At 45.5% G+C, this 22,460-nt stretch overlaps 1 protein-coding gene across 1 annotated transcript; it reads left to right on the forward strand.

Annotated features, from left to right (window-relative positions):
• Window positions 1-17,690: 17,690 nt before the first annotated feature.
• Window positions 17,691-21,689, forward strand: FOXI2 (forkhead box I2). The gene is made up of 2 exons (NM_207426.3): window positions 17,691-18,290; window positions 19,026-21,689. Exons 1-2 carry the CDS (start codon window positions 17,780-17,782, stop codon window positions 19,469-19,471), a joined length of 957 nt encoding a protein of 318 aa, NP_997309.2. The 5' UTR covers window positions 17,691-17,779; the 3' UTR covers window positions 19,472-21,689.
• Window positions 21,690-22,460: the final 771 nt, after the last annotated feature.

A 22,460-nucleotide genomic window follows, 5' to 3' on the forward strand; every position in this document is an offset into this window, starting at 1 on the left:
TCTTATTTTTGAGACAGAATATCACTCACTCTGTTGCCCAGGCTAGATAGAGTACAGTGGCATGATCTCTGCTCACTGCAGCCTCTGCCTCCCAGATTCAAGCGGTTCTCCTGCCTCAGCATCCTGAGTAGCTGAAATTATAGGCGTGCACCACCACGCCTGGCTAATTTTTGTATGTTTAGTAGAGACGGGATTTCACCATGTTGGCCAGGCTGGTCTCGAACTCCTGACCTCAAGTGATCCACCCGCCTCGCCAAAGTGCTGGGATTACAGGTGTGAGCAACCATGCCCAACCCAGATTGTGGGACCTTCTATGAGTTGAGTGGACAGCTCTTTTCAAAAAATTAACTCGTTTTGCCTGACCAACAAGAGGGAAACTCTGTCTCAAAAAAAAAAAAAAAAAAAAAAGAATAAAATAACACATTTAAATAAAAAATTTGAGAGAGAGGTGGAGTAAGATGGTGGAATAGAAAGCTCCACTGATTGTCTCCGCCTTCCCCACCCTCACCAGCCTGGGCCCAGCAAGGACATTAAGTTAACTGTCTACACAGAAAGAAACACCTTCATAAGAACCAAAAATCAGTCCGTAGATTTAACTTCATATCACTGAAAGAGGCACTGAAGAGACAGAATAAACAGTCTGGAATTGTCGATGCCACCCCTCCCACCCCTGGTAGTGGCAGCATGGTGCTGAGAGCTTCTCTGGGTGCTGGGGGGTGGAGAGCACAGCAACTGAGAGGAATTGAACTCAGTGCTGTCCTGTTAGAGCAGAAAGGAAACCCGGACAAAACTCAGCTGATGCCCACCCACAGAGGGAGCATTTAAAGCAGCTCTAGCCAGAGGGGAATCACCAACCCCAGGGGACCAAACTTGAGTGCCTGAAAACCCCTCCATTGAGGGCTACAGCACTCTATGTCTCCAAGTAAACTTGAAAAGGAGTCTAGACCATAAGAACTGCAACTCTTAGTCGAGTCCTAGTGCTGAATTAGGCCCAGAGACAGTGGACTGAGGGGGCACGTGGCACACTGAGACACCAGCTGGGGCAGCCAAGGAAGTACTGACATCACCCCTCTCCTAACCCCAGCCTGCACAGCTGGAGGCTCCAAGAGACCCCTTCCTTCCATCTGAGGAGAGGAGAGGGAAGAGTGAGGACTTTGTCTTGCATCTGGGATACCAGCTCAGCCACAGCAAGAGGGCACTGGGCAGTCATGAGGCCCCCATTCCAGGCTCTACCTCCCAGATGGCATTTCTAGACACACCCTGTGCCAGAAGGGAACCTGCTGCCTTGAAAGGAAGGACCTAGTCCTGCCAGCATTCATCACCTACTAACTGAAGAGCCTTTGGGCCCAGAATAATCAACAGTGATACTCAGGTACTACATCAGGGTCTTTTGCCTCTCAGGCTTGCAGGCTTTGAGTGAGACCCAGCACATTCCCAGCTGTGGCGGCTATGGGGCAAATTCCTTCTGCTTCAAAAAAGCAAAGGGAAAAGTAAAGGGGACTTTGTCTTATACCTTAGGTACCTGCACAGCAAGGGGGGTAAAGCACCAAGCGGGCCAGATGCCAGGGCTTGACTCTTGGATGGCATTTCTGGACCTCCCCTAGGCAAGAGGGGAGTCCACTGCCCTGAAGGGGGAGTCCTGGGCCAGGGAGCGTCTGTGACAAACTGACTTAAGAGACTTTGGGCCTTAAGGGAACATGGGCAGTAGTCTGGCAGTACTCCTCATGGACTGGGGTGGCAGAGGCTACAGGGTGAGGCTCTTCTGCTTTGGAAAAGGGAGGAAGGAGTCAGAAGGACTGTGTCTGGTGGTTTGAGTGCCAGCTCAGCTGCAATACAGTAGAACACCAGGTAGACATCCACAGTTTTTGACTCTAGTTCCTGACTCCACAATGGCACCTGACTCCCCATTGGCACTTTTGATCCCACCCAGGGCATGGGGGACCTCACCTTCCTAAAGGGAAGGAGACAGGCCAGGCTAGCTTTGCCACCTGCTGATTGTAGAGCCCCATGGCCTTGACTGAACATAGGCAGTAGCCAGGGAGTGGTTACAGCAGGTCTTGGACCAGACCCAGTGCATTCATAGTAGTGGTGGTGGCCACAGGGGTTCTTGTGTCACTCCACCCCCAGCTTTAGGTGGCTCAGAACAGAGAGAAAAGGAAAGAGAGAGAAAGAGAGAGAGAGAGAGAGACTCTGTAAGTGTGGGAAAAATTAAGGGAAGTGAACAAGTCTCTGTGGTAATCCGGAGAAAGCTCCCAGGTCTGGTCCAAGATCACAAGGTGGTACCTCTACTTGAGTCTGCAAGAACTACAGCATAACTTGACTTGGGATTCCCCTAAAGCAGATGCAGCTTATATCACAACATCTAAGTCCTTTCAAATATATTGAAAGCCTTCCCAAGATGGATGACTACCAATAAGTCCAGACAGTGAAGACTGCAATAAATGCCTAACTCCTCAATCCCCAGACACCAAAGAACATCTGCTAGCATCAGTGCCACCCAGGGAAACATGACCTCACCAAATGAAGGAAATAAAGCACTAGGAATTAATCCTGGAGAAATAGAGATACGTGATCTTTCAGACACAGAATTCAAAATAGCTGTGTTGAGGAAACTCAAAGAAAATCAAGATAACATAAAGAAGAAATTCAGAATTCTATTAGACAAATTCAACAAGGAGATTGAAAAAATTTTTAAAAATCAAGCAGAAACTCTGGAGCTGAAAAATGCAATTGGCATACTGAAGAATGCATCAACATCTTTTAGTAGCAGAACTGATCAAGCAGAAGAAAGAATTAGTAAGCTCAAAGACAGGCTATTTGAAAACACACAGTCAGAGGGGACAAAAGAATAAAAAAACAATGAAGCATGCCTACTGGATCTAGAAAGTAGCCTCAAAATGGCAAATCTGAGAGTTATTGTCCTTAAAGAAGATGTAGAGAAAGAGATAGGGGTAGAAAATTTATTTAAAGGGATAATAACATAGAACTTCCCAAACTGAGAGAAAGGTATCAATATCCAAGTACAAGAGCACCAAGCAGATTTAACCAAGAAAACCAAACAGATTTAACCCAAGAACTACCTCAAGGCATTTAATAATCAAGCACCCATATGTAAAGGATTAAAACAAGGATCCTAAATGCAGCAAGGGAAAAGAAACAAATATCATACAAATGGAGTTCCAATATGTTGGGCAGCAGACCTTTCAATGGAAAACTTACAGGCCAGAAGAGAGTGTTTTGATATATTCAAAGTGCTGAAGGAAAATAACTTTTACCCTAGAATAGTATATCCAGCAAAAATATCCTTCAAGCATGAAAAAGAAATGAAGACTTTCCCAGACAGACAAAAGTTGAGAGATTGCATCAGTGCCTGTCCCAAAGGAAATGCTAAAGGAAGTATTTCAATCTGCAAGAAAAGGACGTTGATGAGCAATAAATAATCACCTGAAGGTACAAAACTCACTGGTAATAATAAGTACACAGAACAACACAGAATATTATCACACTGAAACTGTGGTGTAGAAACTACTCTTATCCTAAGTAGAAAGACTAAATTATGAACCAATCAAACATAATAACTTCAAAAACTTTTCAAGACATAGTACAATAAGATACAAATAGAAACAACAAAAAGTTAAAAAGAAGTTAAGATGTAGAGTTTTCATTAGACTTCTTTTTCTTGTTTGTTTATGCACATAATGTTAAGGTGTTGTCAGGTTAAGGTAATGGGTTATAAGATAGTATTTGCAAGCATCATGATAATCTCAAACCAAAAAATACAATGGATACACAAAACATAAAAAGCAAAAAACTAAATCACATCACTAGAGAAAATCACCTTCACTAGAAGAAGACAGGAAAAGGAAGAAAAGAGAGAAGGAAGAGAAGACCAGAAAACAAATAACAAAATGGCAGAAAAAAAGTCCTTATTTATCAATAATAACATTGAATGTAAATGCACAAAACTCTTCAGTCAAAAGACATAGACTGGCTGAATGGATGAAAAAACAAGACCCATTGACCTGTTGCCTACAAGAAACATACTTCACCTATAAAGACACACGTAGTCTGAAAATAAAAGGATGGAAAAAGATATTTCATGCCAATGAAAACCAAAAAAGAGCAGGAGTCACTATACTTATATTATAGAAAATAGATTTCAAGACAAAAACTATAAGAAGAGACAAAACAGGTCATTCTATAATGATAAAGGGGTCAATTCAGCAAGAGGATATAATAATTTTAAATATATATGCACTTAACACTGGAGCACCCAGATATATAAAGGATATGTTATTATATGTTATATAAAGGATATATTAAAGAGAGAGAAGCCCCAGTACAACAATAGCTGGAGACTTCAACACCCCACTTTCAGTATTGGACAGATCTTCCAGACACAAAATCAACAAAGAAACATCAGACTTAATCTGCACTATAGACCAAATGGATCTAATAGGTATTTACAGAACATTTCATTCAAGAGCTATAGAATACACATTCTTTTCCTCAGTATATGGATTATTCTCAAGGACAGACCATACGTTAGGTTACAAAACAAGTCTTAAAACATTCAAACAAATTGAAATAATATCAAGCATCTTCTCTGACCACAATGGAATAAAACTAGAAATTAATAACAAAAGAACTTTTGAAACTATACAAATACATGGAAATTAAGTAATATGCTCCTAAATGACCAGTGGATCAAAGAAGAAATTAAGAAGGAAATTGAAAAATTTCTTGAAACAAAGATAATGGAAACTCAACATACCAAAATCTATTGTATACAGCAAAAGTAGTACTAAAAGGGACATTTATAGCTCTAAGTGCCTACATCAAAAAAGAGGAAAAACTTCAAATGATGCATCTTAAAGAACTAGAAAAGCAAGAGCAAATCAAACCCAAAATTAGAAGAAAATAAATAAGAAAAATCAGAGCAGAAAGAAATGAAATTGTAATGAAAGAAAACAATACAAAAGATCAAATCAAAAAGTTGTTTTCTTTTTAAAGTTAAACAAAATTGACAAACCTTTAATCAGACTAAGAAAAAAAGAGAGAAGATCCAAATAAATAAAATCAGAAATGAAAAAGGAGACATTAAAACTGGTACTGCAGAAATTAAAATGATTATTATTGGCTACTATGAGCATTTATATGCCAACGAATTGGAAAATTTAGTAGAAGTGGAAAAATTCCTAGTCACATACCTACTGAGATTGAACTAAGAATAAATGCAAAACCTGAATAGACCAATAACAAGTAACAAGATCAAAGACATAATAAAAAGTCTCCTACTAAAGAGAAGCCCAGGACCTGATGGCTTCACTGCTGAATTCTACCAAACATTTAAAGAAGAATTAATACTAATCCTACTCTAACTATTCAAAACAATAGATGAGAACAGAATACTTCCAAATTCATTCTATGAGGCCAGTATTACCCTGATACCAAAACCAGACAAAGACACATAAAAAAAACTACAAGTAAATATCTCTGATGAATACTGAAGCAAAAATCCTCAACAAAATACTAGGAAACTGAATTCAACAATACATTAGAAAGATCATTTATCATGACCAAGAGGGATTTATCCCTGGGATGCAAGGATGGTTCAACATACACAAATCAATCAATGTGATACATTGTATCAACAAAATGAAGGATAAAAGCCATATGATCATTTCAATTGGTGCTGAAAAAGCATTCGATAAAATTCAACTTCCTTCATAATAAAAACCTTCAAAAACTGGGGATAGAAGGCACATAGCTCAATATAATAAAAGCGATATATGACAGACCCACAGATAGTATCTTACTGAATGGGGAAAAACTGAAAGCCTTTCCTCTAAGATCTGGAACACAACAAGGATGTCCACTGTCACCACTGTTATTCAACATAGTACTGGAAGTCCTCTCTAGAGCAACCAGGCAAGAGAAAGATATAAAAAGTATCCAAACTGGAAATGAAGAAGTCAAATTATCCTTGTTTGCAGAAGATATGATCTTATTTTTGGAAAAACCTAAAGACTCCACAGGAAAACTATTAGAACTGATAAACAAATTCAGTAAAGTTGCAGGATACAAAATCAACATACAAAAATCAGTAGCATTTCTATGTGCTAACAGTGAACAGTCTGAAAAAGAAATTTAAAAGTAATCCCATTTACAGCAGCCACACATAAAATTAAATACCTAGGAATTAACTTAACCAAAGGAGTGAAAGTTCTCTATAATAGAAACTATAAAACACTGATGAAAGAAACTGAATAGGGCACCAAACAATGGGGAAAATTTTCCATGTTAATGAATTGGAAGAATCAATATTGTTAAAATGTTCATGCTACCCAAAGCAATCTACAGATTAACTGCAATCTCTATGGAAATACCAATGACAGTCTTCACAGAAATAGAAAAAAAACCCAAAATTTATATGGAACCACAAAAGATCCAGAATAACCAAAGCTATCCTAAGCAAAAAGAACAAAACTAGAGGAATCACATTACCTGACTTCAAATTATACTACAGAGCTATAGTAGTCAGAATAGCATGGTGTTGGCACAAAAACAGACACATAGATCAACGGAGCAGAATAGAGAACCCAGAAACAAATCCACAACCTACAGTGTACTCATTTTTGACAAAGGTGCCAAGAGCATACACTGGGGAAAAGACAGTCTCTTCAATAATGGTGCTGGGAAAACTAAATATCCATTTGCAGAAGAATGAAACTAGACCTCTATCTATCACCATATACAAAAATCAAATCAAAATGGATTAAAGATTAAATCTAAGACCTCAAACTGTGAAACAACTACAAGAAAACATTGGAGAAAATCTCCAGGACATTGGTCTGGGCAAAGATCTTTTGAGCAATACCCCACACGCACAGACAACCAAAGCAAATATGAACAAATGGGATCACATCAAGTTAAAAAGCTTCTGCATAGCAAAGGATACAATAAAAAAAGTGAAGAGACAACTCACAGAATGGGAGAAAATATTTGCCAACTATTCATCTGACAAGGAATTAATAACCAAAATATATAAAGAGCTCAACCAACTCCATAAGAAAAAAGTCTAATAATCTAATTTTTTAAATGGACAAAAGATTTGAATAGACATTTCTCAAAAGAAGACATACAAATGGCAAGGAGGCTTATTAAGAGGAGCTCAATATCATTAATCATCAGGGAAATGCAAATAAAAACTAAGGAACTCAGTATCATTAATCATTAGGGAAATGCAAATAAAAACTACAGTGAGATATCATCTTGCCCCAGTTAAAATGACTTATATCCAAAAGACAGGCAATAACAAATGCTGGTGAGGATGTGGAGAAAAGGGAACCTGTGTACACTGCTGGTAGGAATGTAAATTAGTACAACCACTATGGAGAACAGTTTGCAGGCTCCACAAAAAACTAAAAATTAAGCTCCCATGTGATCTAGCAATCCCACTACTGGGTATATACCCAAAAGAAAGGAAATCAGTATATCAAAGAGATATCTGTGCTTCTATGTTTGTTGCAGCACTGTTTGCAATAGCTAAGATTTAGAAGCAACCTAAGTGTCCAATAGATGAATGGATAAAGAAAATGTGGTACTTATACCCAATGGAATACTATTTGGCTATAACAAAGAACGAGATCCAGTCATTTGCAACAACATGGATGAAACTGGAGATTATTATGTTACATGAAATAAGCCAGGCACAGAAAGACAAACATTGCATGTTCTCTCTTATTTGTTGAATCTAAAAATCAAAACAATTGAACTCATGGACATTGTAGAAGGACGGTTACCAGAGGCTGAGAAGGGTAATGGAGGGCTGAGTGGAGGTAGCGATAGTAAACAGATAAAAAAAAAAAAAGAATGAATTAGACCTACTATTTGATAGCACAACAGAGTGACTATATTTAATAATAACTTAATCGTACATTTAAAAATAAAAAATGTAATTGGATTGTTTGCAATTCAAAGGATAAATGCTCGAGGGGATGGATACCCCATTTGATACCCCATTACCCAAGTGCTGATTTCACATTGCATGCCTGTATCAAAACATCTCATGTACCCCATAAATACATACACCTGCTATGTACCCACAACATTTTTTTAAATAAAAAATTTGAGGTGGGGTGAAGAGCTCTTCTAGAATAAAAGAAACATAATGAACATGACAAATACATGAGCAGTCTCATAAATACACTGGATTCTGATTTGGAAAAAAAGGCAAGAAGTTATTTAGAGAAAATTGAAAAAATGGAAATATGAGATGTGTATAAGATAATATTAGGGATTGCAGCTAATGTGTTAGTTGTGATCACGTACGAGAATGTCTTCCCTTTTTTTAGATGGATGCCGAAGTGTTTAAGGGTAAAAATTTAAAAGTTTATATTCTTAAAGGCTCCAACAACAAAATACATATATAAACAGAAATGAAGTAAATATAGCAATTATTTACGAATTTAAATTTAATGTCTAGACTTTTTAGAATATAAGTTCAAATATATATAATTTAAAATAGTTTTGAAATCAATTACATGGGATACTCTTAAACATTGTATTTTGGTACAGTCAGGTTTTTCCTAGTAAATGGACACTAGCATATATTTGGAGAAAAGATATTGTAAATAAAGTCTTTTCTCAGTTTGATATCAAGAATATAGACAACATATTTGAATAGAAGAGTGTATTTAACATATAGAGAGCCAAACTTTAAACATAAGATTCATTCTCTAGGTCAATGAATGATTGACAGAGAGAGAGAGAGAGAGAGAATACCAATAAATACTATACATAAAGTACTTAATACTTGTGCTTAAGTGTTTTGCATGCATTATTTCATTTTCATCCTCACACTGTCCTATGAGGTGGGCACTATTAGTTCTACTTTACAGAGGAAGAAACTGAGACTTGTAGGGACTAGCAGTTTACCCACTTAGCTGCTTGAAACTAGAGCCAAGATTTGACTACAGGTCTACCTGTAATTAGAACTGAGAAATTCACCAGCTGAGAAAAGTTCCTGAGAGTCTACATAGGCCTAATGTTGCTTTAATATAGTTTTTCTCAATGAGGAGAGTTTGAAGCAAATTTTAGTTATGATTACCAGGGAGTGGTAAGGAAACAGGATATGGACAGGCATACCTCAGAGACATTGGGGGTTTGGTTCCAGACCATCGTAATAAAGGTAATATTACAATAAAGTGAGTCAAATTAATTTTTTGGTTTTCCAGTATGTATAAAAGTTTTGTCTACACTTTACTGTAGTCTATTAAGTGTGCAATATCATTACGTCTTTAAAAAACAATATACATACCTTAATTTTAAAATACTTTCAAAAAATGCTAACAATCATCTGATCCTTCCGTGAGTCATTAATCATTTTGCTAAGGGAGGGTCTTGCCTCAATGTTGATGGCCGCTGACTGATCAGGGTGGTGGTTGCTAAAGGTTAGGGTGGCTGTGGCAATTTCTTAAAATGAGACAACAATAAAGTTTGCCAAATAGATGGACTCTTACTTTCACAAGAGGTTTCTCTGTAGCATGCAGTGCTGTTTGATAGCATTTGCCCACAGCAGAACCACTTTCAAAATTGGAGCCAATCCTCTCAAACTCTGCTGCTGCTTCATTGACTAAATTTATGGATTATTCTAAATCCTTTGTTGTTATTTCAACAATGTTCACAGACTCTTTACCAGGAATAGATTCCATCTGAATAATCTGCTTTGTTTTTTTTTTAATTTTAATTTTTATTTTAAGTTCTGGGGTACATGTGCAGGATGTGCAGGTTGTTACACAGGTAAACATGTGCCATGGTGGTTTGCTGCACAGATCAACCCATCATCTAGGTATTAAGCCCAGCATGCATTGGCTATTTTTCCTAATGCTCTCCCTCCATTGACCCCACTGCACAACAGGCCCCAGTGTGTGTTGTTCGCTTCCCTGTGTCCATTTGATCTCATTGTTCAGCTCCCACTTATAAGTGAGAACATGCGGTGTTTGGTTTTCTGTTCCTCTGTTAGTTTGCTGAGGATAATGGCTTCTAGCTCTAGCCATGTCCCTGCAAAAGACACTATCTCATTTCTTTTTATGGCTGCATAGTATTCCATAGTGTATATGTACCACATTTTATTTATCCAGTCTATCATTGATGGGCATTTGGGTTGTCAATAATCCACTTTCTTGGCTCATTTGTAAGAAGCAACTGCTCATCTGTTTAAGTTTTATCATGAGATTGCAGCAATTCAGTCACATCTTCAGGCTTCATTTCTATCTACAGTTCTCTTGTCATTTCTACCACATCTGCAGTGACTTCCTCCATTGAAGTCTTGAACTCCTCAAAGCCATCTATGAGCACTGAAATTCAATTCTTCCAAACTCCTGTTAATGTGCTATTTTGACTTCCTCTCATGGATTATGAATGTTCCCAATGGCATCTAGAATGGTGAATCCTTTCCAGAAGGCTTTCAATTTACTTTTCCCAGCTCCATCAGGGGAATCACTGTCTATGGCAGCTATAGCCTTATGAAATGTATTTCTTTAATAACACTTGAAAGTTGAAAATGTTCCTTGATCCAGACTACAGAATTAACATCGTGCTAGCAGGTATAAAAACATTAATCTCCTTGTACATCTCCATCAGCGTTCTCCAGTGACTAGATGTTTTGTCAATGAGCAGTAATATTTTGAAAGAAATCTTCTTTTCTAAACAGTAGATCTCAATAGTGGGCTTAAAATATTCAGCAAACCATGCTGTAAATAGATGTGCTGTTATCTAGGCTTTGTTGTTCTATTTATAGAGCTCAGGCAGAGAAGATTTAGCCTAATTCTTAAGGGTCCTAGGATTTTCAGAATGGTAAGTGAGCATTGGCTTCAACTTAAAGTTCCCGGCTGCATTATCCCCTAACAAGACAGTCAGCCTGTCCTTTAAAGTTTTGAAGCCAGGAATCAACTTCTCCTCTGTAGCTATGAAAGTCCTAGATGGAATCTTCTTTGTCTACATTGGAAATCTGTTGTTTAGTGTAGCCACCTTCACAAATGGTCTTAGCTAGATCTTCTGGATATATTGCTCCATCTTCTACATCAGCACTTGCTGCTTCACGTTGTACTTTGATGTTATAAAGACAGGTTCTTTCCTTAAATCTCATGAGCCTTCTGCTAGTTCCAAACTTTTCTTCTGCAGCTTCCTCACCTCTCTCTCAGCCTTCATAGAATGGAATTGAGTTGGGGCCTTGTTCTGAATTGGTCTGGTTTATGGGAATGTTCTGGGCTGGTTTAATCTTCTATCTAGACCACTAAAACTTTTTCCATATCAGCAATAAGGCTGTTTCACGTTATTATTCACGTGTTCACTGAAGTAGCACTTTTCATTTTCTTCAAGAATTTTTCCTTTGCATTCACAATTTGGTTAACAATTTGGCCCAATAGGCCTATGTTTTGGTCTGTCTCAACTTGCAACATGCCTTCCTCACTAAATTTAATCATTTCTGGCTTTTGATTTAAAGTAAGAGATTTGCAACTCTTCCTTTCACTTGAACTTAGAAGCCATTGTAGGGTTATTAATTGGCTTAATTTCAATATTATTTTGTCTCAGGGAATAGGGAGGCCCAAGGAGAGGGACACAGATGGGAATGACTGGTTGGTGGAGCAGTCAGAACACACACATTTATTAAGTTCATCGTCTTATATGGGCACGGTTCATGGCTCCCCAAAATGATTACAATAGTAACATCAAAGAACACTGAACACAGATTACTATAACAGATTAATAATAATGAAAAAGTTTGAAATATTTCAAAAATTGCAAAAATGTGACACAGAGGCATGAAGTGAGCACACACTGTTGGAAAAATGATGCTGATAGACTTCCTGAGTTAGGATTGCTACAATTATTCAATTTGTAAAAAACACAGTATCTGTGAAACATAATAAAACAAAGTATGCCTGTGCTAACTGAGAAACTTACTATGTCAAAGCACTTCACAGGCAGGGAAAAAAATGAGGCTCAGGGATGCAATGGTTGACCTCCAGATCTCATTGCTGGAGCCCAGTTTCAAACCAAGATCTGGTTGTATCCCCAGACTAAGCTCTTGGCCACAGTAGCCCCTGACCTGATCCTTTCTAATGTGAGAAACCAGAAGTCTACATAAAATTCCAAAACCTGCAACATAATTTGAAAGAAAAAAACTGCAAAGGTCAAGGAGAGTATCTGAGGATGTTGCAAATTATCCCTTCTAAGACAAAAGCCTCTTGAGCTCTCTCTAGATTTTGAAAGTTTGAAAATACTAAGTAGACTCCTCCAGCCAAGTTGATTCCTGCACAACAGCTGTAAATTTCAGCAAACACACCTTGCTTGGGATCCCACACTGGGGATGATGAGAACACAGGCTATAGGGACAGAGCCGTGTCCTGGGGAGGCTCAGTCACACTGAGAAGTGGGAATCTTCTGAGACAAGGGGAGTGTCTGTCCTGGAGGGTGCATGACCCGATTTCTTTTTTAGTTTTTGATTGCTTTGTGACAAATTACTACACATTCGGTGGCTTAAAGCAATACTCACTTATTAGTTCACAGTTCTGTAGGTCAGAAGTCTAGCAGGATATGTCTGAGTTCTCTGCTCAGACTGAAGTCAAAGTGTCAGACACTGTGTTCTCATCTGGAGCTTGGGGTCTTCTTCCAAGGTTATTCTTGTGATTGGCAGAATTCATTTTCTTTTGGTTGTGAGATTGAAGTCCCTGTTTCCTCGCTGGCTGTTAGCTGGGACCACTCTCAGCTTCTGAAGGCTGCCCACATTCCTCCTGTGGCCTCCATATTTAAGCCAGCAATGGTGCATCAAATACTTCTCTGACTTCTGGACAGGTGCGGTGACTCACGCCTGTAATCCCAGCACTTTGGGAGGCCAAGGTGGGATGATCACCTGTGGTCAGGAGTTCAAGACCAGGCTGGTCTACATGGTGAAATCCCATTTCTACTTAAAAATACAAAAGTTGGGCAGGCATGGTGGCAAGCGCCTGTAATCCCAGCTATTTGGGAGGCTGAGGCAGGAGAATCATATGAACCCAGGAGGCAGAGGTTGCAGTGAGCTGAGATTGTGTCACTGCACTCCAGTCTGGGCAATGGAGCAAGACTCTGTCTCAAAAAAAAAAAAAAAAAAAAAATTCCTTCTCTGACTTATGCTGCTACTGGCAGCCAAAGTAAACTCTGCTTTTAAAGGGTTCACCTGGCTGGGTCAGGCCCACTGGAATAACTTCTATATCTTAAGGTCAACTGACTTAGGACTTTACATCTGCAAAATCCCCTCACAGCAGTAACTAGGTTAGTGTTTGGTTGAGTAATCTGAGAATCTTGGGAATCATCTTTGGAATCCTTCCCACCATGGTTTTAGAAAGGTCAGTCTGGCCATAGTGTGGATAATATATTGGGAGGGACAAGACAGACAGCAAAGGGGATCTACTAAAAGCTGTTGCAATCATCCTGAAAGACAGAGGAATGGGCTTTGGATTAGTGAGAAATGATTTACACACAGCATAACGACTTCTTGCTGACTGATTAGTTGTGGGAGGGAGGGAAGGGAGAGTCAAGGAGGACTCCCAGGTTTTGCCTCAAACAACTGAGTAAGTGATGTTGCCATCCACAGAGATACTATGGATAAACAGGTTTTGGAGTAGAAGATAACAAATTATTACTCTTCATGTTGAGTTTGAAAGGAAGACAATCAAATGGATGATAAAAATGGGGGAATCATTGGTTAACGCAGGAGTTCTCCATGGGAGTGATTTGGCTCCACAGAGGACAGTTGGCCATGTCTGAAGACATTTTTGGTTGCCATAATAGTGGAGGCGTTGTCCACATTGAGCAGGTAGAAAGCAGGAGTACTGCTAAAAATCCCACAACACACAGGACAACAAAGGTTTACCTAGCCCCAAATGTCAATAGTGCTGAGGTTGACAAACCCTGAACCAGAGGCCAGAAATTAAAGCCACAGGAGTGAAGAAGAGGACCCAGAATGGAGCCCTGCAGAACCCCAGCCTCAGAGCAAGGCAAGCCAGCCCAGAGCCCGAGAAGAAGCCAGAGAAGGGGAGGTCAACCAGATGAACAGTGTTGAAAAGCAGGCAGAGAAAGAGGTGTTGATTCTGGCGGGTGTCAAGGGCTGCTGCGAGTCAAGCAAAATGAGGAGTAAAAACCATCATTGGATTTAGGGTGACCAAGGCCACCAGAGGCTGTGCCTGAGCAGTTTCAGTTGAGTCGTGGGGGTGGACGGCTGTCTGTGCTGAGTGAAGAGTGTGCTCTTGAGAGAGGAGGTTGGGGCAACAGCCACCAGAGACCAGGCTTCTGAAGACCTGGAGACACCTCAAAAGGGATGTGGGCTGAAGGGATTTGTTGCCACGGAGAGAATTGAGATCTGCAAATGCTGATGGGAAGAAGAGAGAGGAGGAGATCACAGAGTGAGGCCCCTGAGAAAAGTGTGAGAAGAGAACTAAGGGCACAACGTCTCTTCCAGGCCCAAGCAGTGAGTGTCCCCTAAGTGCTGCATCCCAGGTGTGCACCTGAGTCCCAGTCCTGCCCAGGAGAGACTGGCCTGATGATGGAGAAGGAGAAGAGGTGCCCCCAGCAACAGGTGTAGGTGCAGCTGGAGGTGGGCTTGGCAATTTGAAAGGTGGGAGGTTGGGGAGACTTATCCTCCATGTAGGCAGCGGGGGTCACTTTTGAGAATAAAGGAGAAGAAAATGGATCAGAGGCCTGAGAGGGGTGTGGAGGGCTGCTCTGTTTAGAGAACCCCAGCAGGACTCCCAGACAGGGCACAGTCTTTGTCCTTGTGATTTCTCTCCCGATATTTTTTTTTTCTCTTAGAAAAATTCTCATCAAAGTTCCATGCAAGACCATTTAAGGGTTAACACATTTTCCCCCAAAATGACTGCAGTCCCTCTACTGAAATTCATTTTATGAGTCCAGTCTGTTGAAAGATAAGAAAACTATCACAGTGGAGATGGAAGATGGAAATTGGGCTCAGAGAGCAAAGAAGGGTGAAAAAGATATGGACACATATATCCATGGCACAAATTTTAATGATTTCTGTAAAGTATAATTAAAGGAAATTACAGGAAGTTTCATTTGATTTTCTTAGAGGTCCTGAAACTCACGAGTGTTACAGAGTTATAGTATTTACAGAAAGAAAGGCTATTAAAATTCAAGAGAATGTGGAAGGAGCTGCCGTCTTTTTTGAAAAAATTCCTTTACATTGCAAAAGATGACCCAAGCTATTCTTTAAAATTCAACATCTCTGATATTATTCTCACAGTAGAGCAGTTAACTGCAGATAAAATTAGTTCTTCCTGTCAAATCATTGTGTTATTCCACCAAAATAGGTGTCTTCTACGTACACAGCCTTGGACAATGGAAATCCTTGACAAGGAGCAGCTGCTTTTGTCCAGTACTTCACGTCAGCCGCTAGAAAGCAGGGACGGCCAGGCGGGCTCTTGCAGAACCTGCCATGCCGGTGGCCCTGCGGGTCCGGCTGCAGCTCCCACCTTCGCACTCTCTCTGGGATGATTTGGGTCAAGGCAGAGCTGTGCAGCCTCTGTACATCCTCATCAAGCACGGACTCAAAAACTGAGTCCTAATCAGCAGCCGTTTCAAAATTCCTGAAGGTGTGGAGTCATCCCAGACCCTCTGGCAAGCTCCGGAAGGGTGTTATGGGAGGAAAGTGGGTGTCTATAGGCGGTGATATGGGTTTGCACCATAAGGAGAGGATCCAAGTCCTGTTTGCTACACATGTGCTGAGGGAAAGACACTTTCTTCAAGAGGTAGTCACCAAAAAGCTGGTCACACCTACGGACAGCAGCATGGTTTCCCCTGAGGGGGGCACTGGAAATCGCTAAGCTGAGTGGCAGGTGGCACTGGCTGCTCTTTTGGGTGGAAGCAATAGACTGTGTTCACCTGAGACTCAGCAAGAAGAGGCGTGTCCCACCCCGAGTACTTCCCGTTGACCCCGCAACCGCCCCTGCAACGACGGGGATGGAAGGGGAGGGCGGCTTCGTAAAAGGCACCTGGGACCCCCACAACTAGCATTCCTTTGACAAAAATCAGAAATCTTTGGGAAAGGGGGAAGGAAAAGGGGGCAGAGTCCAGCCGAAAAGCCGACCTCAAAGAACCATTTTGGGGTATTTCTTTTCTCTTGACTGCTTGGGAAATGCCTTCGGTTCACCCACCACTTCTGAAGGGGCTTCACTTCTAAGGCGAGAGGCCAACGTCCCAACAGAGGGACTCTCACTTCTTTCTGCCATTTGTTAAATTGTTCCATAAATTAGTTGTTTTACATAAAATTTGGAACTACGATCTGGGAGGCCGAGGGGCTGCACCACCAGTAAGTCGCTGACTCAAATGGGCCCTTTAATCCCCAAACCCAAACTCTTTCCTCGATCGAACCGCTGGCCTCAACCTACAAGCCTCCTCCACCGCCAAAAGTCGGGAAGGGTTGGTCCTTTTGTTTTACAAATGAATTAAAATTAGATCCACAGGCCCGCGTAACGCTGGGGAATACCCAGGGCGAGGCCAGCTTCCAGGAGGTCAGCGCCAACACCGCCGGCAGGAATCTGGGGGGATGGGGAGGTCTCCTCATCTCTGAGCCTTGAGCACCAGGCCTGAATTTTCGCCTCTTTCGCACAGGTGCCCGACTCGGAGTCCGGGAGGCGGGCCCTCTTTCCAGGTACCCAGCCCAGCGTCAGCCTGGGTCCATCCTCCGCCACCCCACAGCGCGGGGAGCAGGGGAGGCCGAAAGCCGGGCAGCTTGGGGGGCCGGGATAACCCGGGCTGCAGCAACCCCGGGCGGCAGCAGGACTGGAGAGCTGGTGTCGGACGCACTGCAGAGACGTCCCTGTTTTCGGCGCGTCCTCCGACACCCAGCAGAGAGCTTGGCGCTCTCCGCTCTGCGCGCCCGAGGTCACAGCGCGGAGAAACCTGGCGGGGCCCCGGACTCCCCGGCTTGGGAAAAGCGATGACTGCCCTGAACTGCTGGGGCGTTCGAAATTTCCAGGGTCCCGACCCTCCGTGGGGTACGCGCGACTTCGGCGCAGATGTCAGTCCGCTGCCTTCCGGGTTGAGGGAGCGAGGACTCCAGACGACCCCAGGGCCGCTGTCCAGGCCCAGCCCCGCGTTCTCCACCTCGCCACCTCGCTCTGCGGCTCCAGCCTGGAGATCTACGGACTTCATTGCGATCTCTTGCGCAGTGTAGTCGCCCTCTATCCCTAGCCCCGAGTCCCGGGTAACCCAGGGGCCCCGGCGAGGCGAGTTTCTTTGGGGCGAGATGTCCCGAGCCGAGCAAAGGGGCCGCGCATTGGACGGGGCTCCCAAGCCACAGCCCTGGGGGCCTTGAGGAGTCGTGGTACGGTCCAGGGCAGTCGGGGCTGCGGGGCCCGTGAAGCCAGACGAGGCTACGGACTTAGGGTCCCTGCAACCAAGACCGCGAGCGACTGTGGACTCGGGACGGATCGCACAAAGGAGGAAGGGGGAATCAGAGGGGCGTCCGGTCCAGGACGTGTCAGGCCTGGGCGGGGCGGAAAACTGACACCAGGGCGAGGACAAGGATTTCGCTCCTCCAGGGCTGCCAGGGGAGGGGCTCGCCACCGTCACTCTCCATGGGCTCTGGCCCCGACGGTGTTTAAAGGGCGGAGGGCTGGGCCGGGCTGGTCGCACCCGGGCGCTGCTGGCGGCCAAGCTGGATGGGTCGCCAGTGAGTTTCGGTGCGGCACCGCTGGCCCAGGCCCGGGCGCGGCTGGACATGGCCACCTACTGCGACGACCTGGGCCCCTCCTCGGCCCCGCCCGGCCAGGCCCAGGCCACCGCGCACCCCCCGGGCTATGAGCCAGGGGATCTGGGCGCGGTGGGCGGGGGCCCCCTCCTGTGGGTGAACGCGCCAGCGCTCAGCCCCAAGTCCTACGCTTCGGGTCCCGGGCCTGCGCCGCCCTACGCGGCCCCGAGCTACGGGGCTCCCGGCCCGCTCCTCGGCGCCCCGGGCGGCCTGGCGGGCGCCGACCTCGCCTGGCTGAGCCTCTCCGGCCAGCAGGAGCTGCTGAGGCTGGTGCGGCCGCCCTACTCCTACTCGGCGCTCATCGCCATGGCCATCCAGAGCGCGCCGCTGCGGAAGCTGACGCTCAGCCAGATCTACCAGTACGTGGCTGGTAACTTCCCTTTCTACAAGCGCAGCAAGGCGGGCTGGCAGAACTCCATCCGCCACAACCTGTCGCTCAACGACTGCTTCAAGAAGGTGCCCCGCGACGAGGACGACCCAGGTAACAGCGGCGCGCCGGCTCGCTCCGTCCAGGACTCCCCATCTTCCCGCCGGGCCGCGGGCACTCCGGGGGTGGGAGCACCTTAGACAACCTAATTTCTCCCTGCGCGGTTGGGGATACCCGGGGAGGAGGGAGAAGGGGAAGAAGTGCTTGGGCATGGACAGGTTCTCAGACAGCGGCTGAGCCCACCACAGGCCCGCGTTTACAGTGCGGCGGTCCCGGGGCTCTCAATCTCTGTGCGCTCCTTCGGAGGAAGAAGCGGGAGAGCCAGCAAGCTGGGTGACCTTGGGAGTGACTCAACTTCCCTGGGCCTCAGTGCCCTACCTGGTAAAATGGGGAAGACAGCGCCTACCCCAAGGATGGGCAAAACAAATAGGATGCCCGTTTGGAAAGCTCTGGAGCCTACCTGGGGGCCTGGCGTGGTCTGCGCTGTCCTTGGCAGAGCGGCTGGCGGAGTCCCACCATTAGCATCTCGCAGGCCTTCCTTCACCTTAACGGGGCTCGGCCTTTCCCAGGGCTCCCTTCCTCCTCCTTTCTGGATTGTCACTTTCTTCCCAGTCCTGCTGTGGAGGCCCATCGGGTACAGAGTGCCCGTCAAGGGTGGAATGGGGGCGAGGACTCAGACCCTCTGTAAGGGCCAGCAGGGGATCTTTCTGAAGCTGACCTCCTCGCTGGCTCACACCACGGCCCGTCAAAGCTCGAACCTTCTGAACTGGGCTGTTTCTTCTTCTGCAGGTAAAGGCAATTACTGGACCCTGGACCCCAACTGCGAGAAGATGTTTGACAACGGGAACTTCCGAAGGAAGAGGAAGAGGAGAGCTGAAGCCAGCGCGGCCGTGCGCTCGGGAGCCAGGAGCGTGGGAGGGGCCGAGGCGCCAGCGCTGGAGCCCCCGAGCGCGGCTTGCCTGGACCTGCAGGCCTCGCCCTCTCCATCCGCACCCGAGGCCGCCACCTGCTTCTCCGGTTTCGCTTCTGCTATGAGCGCTCTGGCTGGCGGCCTTGGCACCTTCCCCGGGGGCCTGGCGGGCGACTTTTCTTTCGGGAGGCGGCCACCGACAGTCGCCACCCACGCTCCCCAGACCCTTAACCCCTCCCCTGGCTTCGCCCCTGGCCACCAGACCGCGGCCGCCGGCTTCCGCCTCAGTCACCTCCTCTACAGCCGGGAAGGGACCGAAGTTTGAAGGGAGGCTGGAGGCTAGCCGGGTGCGGGTCCAGAGGTGCTGAGCTCAGGCCTCCGGTTTCCCCTGGTGACAGCCCCACGTGTTGGCGTTGAAGGCCTTGGTGCCCTGGGAGGAAGCGCAGAGCCGGGGGCGGCTCGGCCAGCAGGGAGCTGGGCTGAGCGGCTCTTGGGCTTTGGGGTGGGTGGCCCTTCTGCTGTGCACCCCTCACCCAGGCGACCTTCGGAACCTCCCTGCTCTGCCTCTAAGTCCAGCCGCCCTGGGCGTCTAGAACCTGTGCTCTCGAGGGATTTGCCTTGAAGGGGCGGCGGGTCGGCCCTCAGCTCCAGCGTTTTCCAAGGAGGCTGGCTGACTCCAAAGAGCCTTAGAGCAGATGGGAAGAAGGTGGGCTGCCAGAGCGGCCCAGGTGGTGGGGGCCCTTTCCACCTCCACCCAGCTTGGCCCACCTGGCTCAGGGCCTTCCCTTCTGCTTCAGGGAAGCTGCCGCAGGGGCTGGGGGACAGAGCTCAGGAGCAGCTGCAGTGGGCTCCAGGTGGGCCAGGAGCCTGCAGTGAGGGGATCTGAGACAGTTGGCATTGGGTCCTGTGTAAGGAAGGTCTTGCTAATGGTTGGAACTGCTGGTGGTGGGAGGGAGAAGCACTGCGTGGGCAGAAAGCGCCCTTGGGATACCAGCTCCCTTCCCTGTCACTCAGCCCTGGTCCTTGATGACCCCCCTCTAGGACAAGGCAACTCCCCAGGGCCCCGCCACCACTGACCACAGGAGCGGTGCCCAGCACCCAGGAGTTCCCCAAGGGTCCAGGTTTGTGCCACCCACACCCACACTCACACCCACACTCACACCCACACTCACACCCACACCCACACCCACACCCACACTCACACTCACACTCACACCCACACTCACACCCACACTCACACCCACACCCACACCCACACTCACACACACTCACACCCACACCCACACTCACACCCACACACACTCACACCCACACACACCCACACTCATACTCACACTCACACCCACACTCACACCACACCCACACTCACACTGACACCCACACTCACACCCACACTCACACTGACACCCACACTCACACCCACACTCATACTCACACTCACACCCACACTCACACTCACACCCACACTCACACCACACTCACACCCACACACACCCACACTCATACTCACACCCACACCCACACTCATACTCACACACCCACACCCACACCCACACCCACACCCACACCCACACCCACACTCACACAGGCTCATGGAAGGCCACACTTGTTTTGGTCTCTTTCCCCTCCAAACCCACAGTTTGAGCCAAAGCTGTGCGTGTGTTCAGAGCTCCTGAACAGCAGCCTCCTGTGTAAATTGAACCCTGCCCCACCCAGTTCCTTCTTAGGGATGGTATCTTTGTGAAGGACAAGGAGCCCCCAGTCACTGGGAAGAGGAATTTTTTGGCCTCTGTACTCCTTAGAGGACCTAAGTGCCCCAGTCAGATGCCCTGAGTCTTTGTGGCATCTGGGACTCCCTGGAGATGGAGACGTTGGTGGGGGGGGGGTACCCACCTTGTTGTTGATGGGGGTACCTATCTTCCCTGCATTTTGGGGGAGGGTGGGAGGGGTCCTTCCCAGGAAGAGAGTGGAGACAGGTTACTGTTACTTTGGAGTGGGACAGGCTGGTTTAGCAATCCTAAGCCCCAGCCACGCAGGTATTCCTGATCTGCCTGCAGGGCCCCTCACTGCAGCTGCCACCAGTGCTGGAAATGAGAGCAGGGCTCCTGACTGTCCCTAGAGCTGACTCATCATGGCCCTGCTGAAGAGTGAGGTGTGTGTGTGTGTGTGCGTGTGTGCGTAAGACAGAGAGGGAGGGAGAAGGAAGGAGGCGGGGGAACATGGAGAGAAGGAGCCAGGAGTTGGGATAAACCTGGCCCTGGTCATATGTTTCATCAGCAGTGGCTCCTAACTCCACGTGCCATCTCTGCTGCTGCCCTCCACAAGCAGGTGAGCAGAGTGCCAGTTGTGTTGAAGGTGATGATGTCGCCTAACTAAACTCACAACCAACCCGCAATCTCTCTTGGGGGGACACTCCCCATAAGCAATACAATTAAAGAAGACCAGGAAAGGAAAATAAATTCCTTAGCTTATACATTTAAAAAGTATCCCTTGAACCTATTTTAATAGAATGAAATGCTAAAAATAAAGACCAATATAACATACATAGCTGGCATGTGTATGCTATTTCGTATAAGAATTCCACTGCTATGACAAACATCCCCATTTTAGAGTCTGAACTTGCAGGAAACTTGGAAAGATCTTTTCCTAATTAAATTTGACAACAGTTGGAAAATGCAATGGACAATTGGACAATCAGTGGAGCTTTGAGAAAATTGGCTGACACGTGTGGATGTAAACATGGAATGTCATGGCTGCATGACTGCTAGATGTTGGGAAGCTGCTTTTTTTTTTTCTCTAACAATGGTATTTATGTTAAAATTGAGAAAAAAATATTTAAGATTTTTCAACTTTTGGTTTGTTGCCCAAAGATCGTTTTTTACCGTTTGAAAGTTGCTCATTTATTCAAAGCTTTATACCATTAGTAGGTAATAGTATAAACAAATAGGTGAAATCTTCATGAGAAAAGCTTGGTTAAAAATACTTCCAGCAGTGCAAGGTATTTGGACATGGGTGGGGTTAGATGGCCAAACCATTCTCTCCTCCAAAACAGCCCACATGCCTGGATGTGCTTAGGAGAGGGGAAGCCAGGCCAAAATGCATTTCATAGGCCCAGGCATGGCACAGTCAGCTTCAGACTCATTATCCCAAAGAAACATTTTCCCATAGCAAAGAAACTGTTGAAATCAAAACAAAAAAATGCAGCTTGAGGTCACTTTATGGTTAAATACTTTCTTCTGGCCAGGGCTTGGTGAACTTGACCACAGTCCCTAGAGCTCACTGAATGCAGGCAGCAGAAGGACGTGGTCCTGTTG

The sequence above is a fragment of the Homo sapiens genome, chromosome 10 (assembly GCF_000001405.40).
Source record: "Homo sapiens chromosome 10, GRCh38.p14 Primary Assembly".
In the NCBI taxonomy this organism is placed as follows: domain Eukaryota; kingdom Metazoa; phylum Chordata; class Mammalia; order Primates; family Hominidae; genus Homo; species Homo sapiens.

What these genes read in the sequence shown, in the direction of transcription:
- FOXI2 (NM_207426.3), top strand. Translation starts at nt 17,780, where the DNA reads ATGGCCACCTACTGCGACGACCTGGGCCCCTCCTCGGCCCCGCCCGGC. An exon ending in CCGCGACGAGGACGACCCAG is followed by an intron (nt 18,291 to 19,025) that starts GTAACAGCGGCG and finishes CTTCTTCTGCAG; the next exon opens with GTAAAGGCAATTACTGGACC.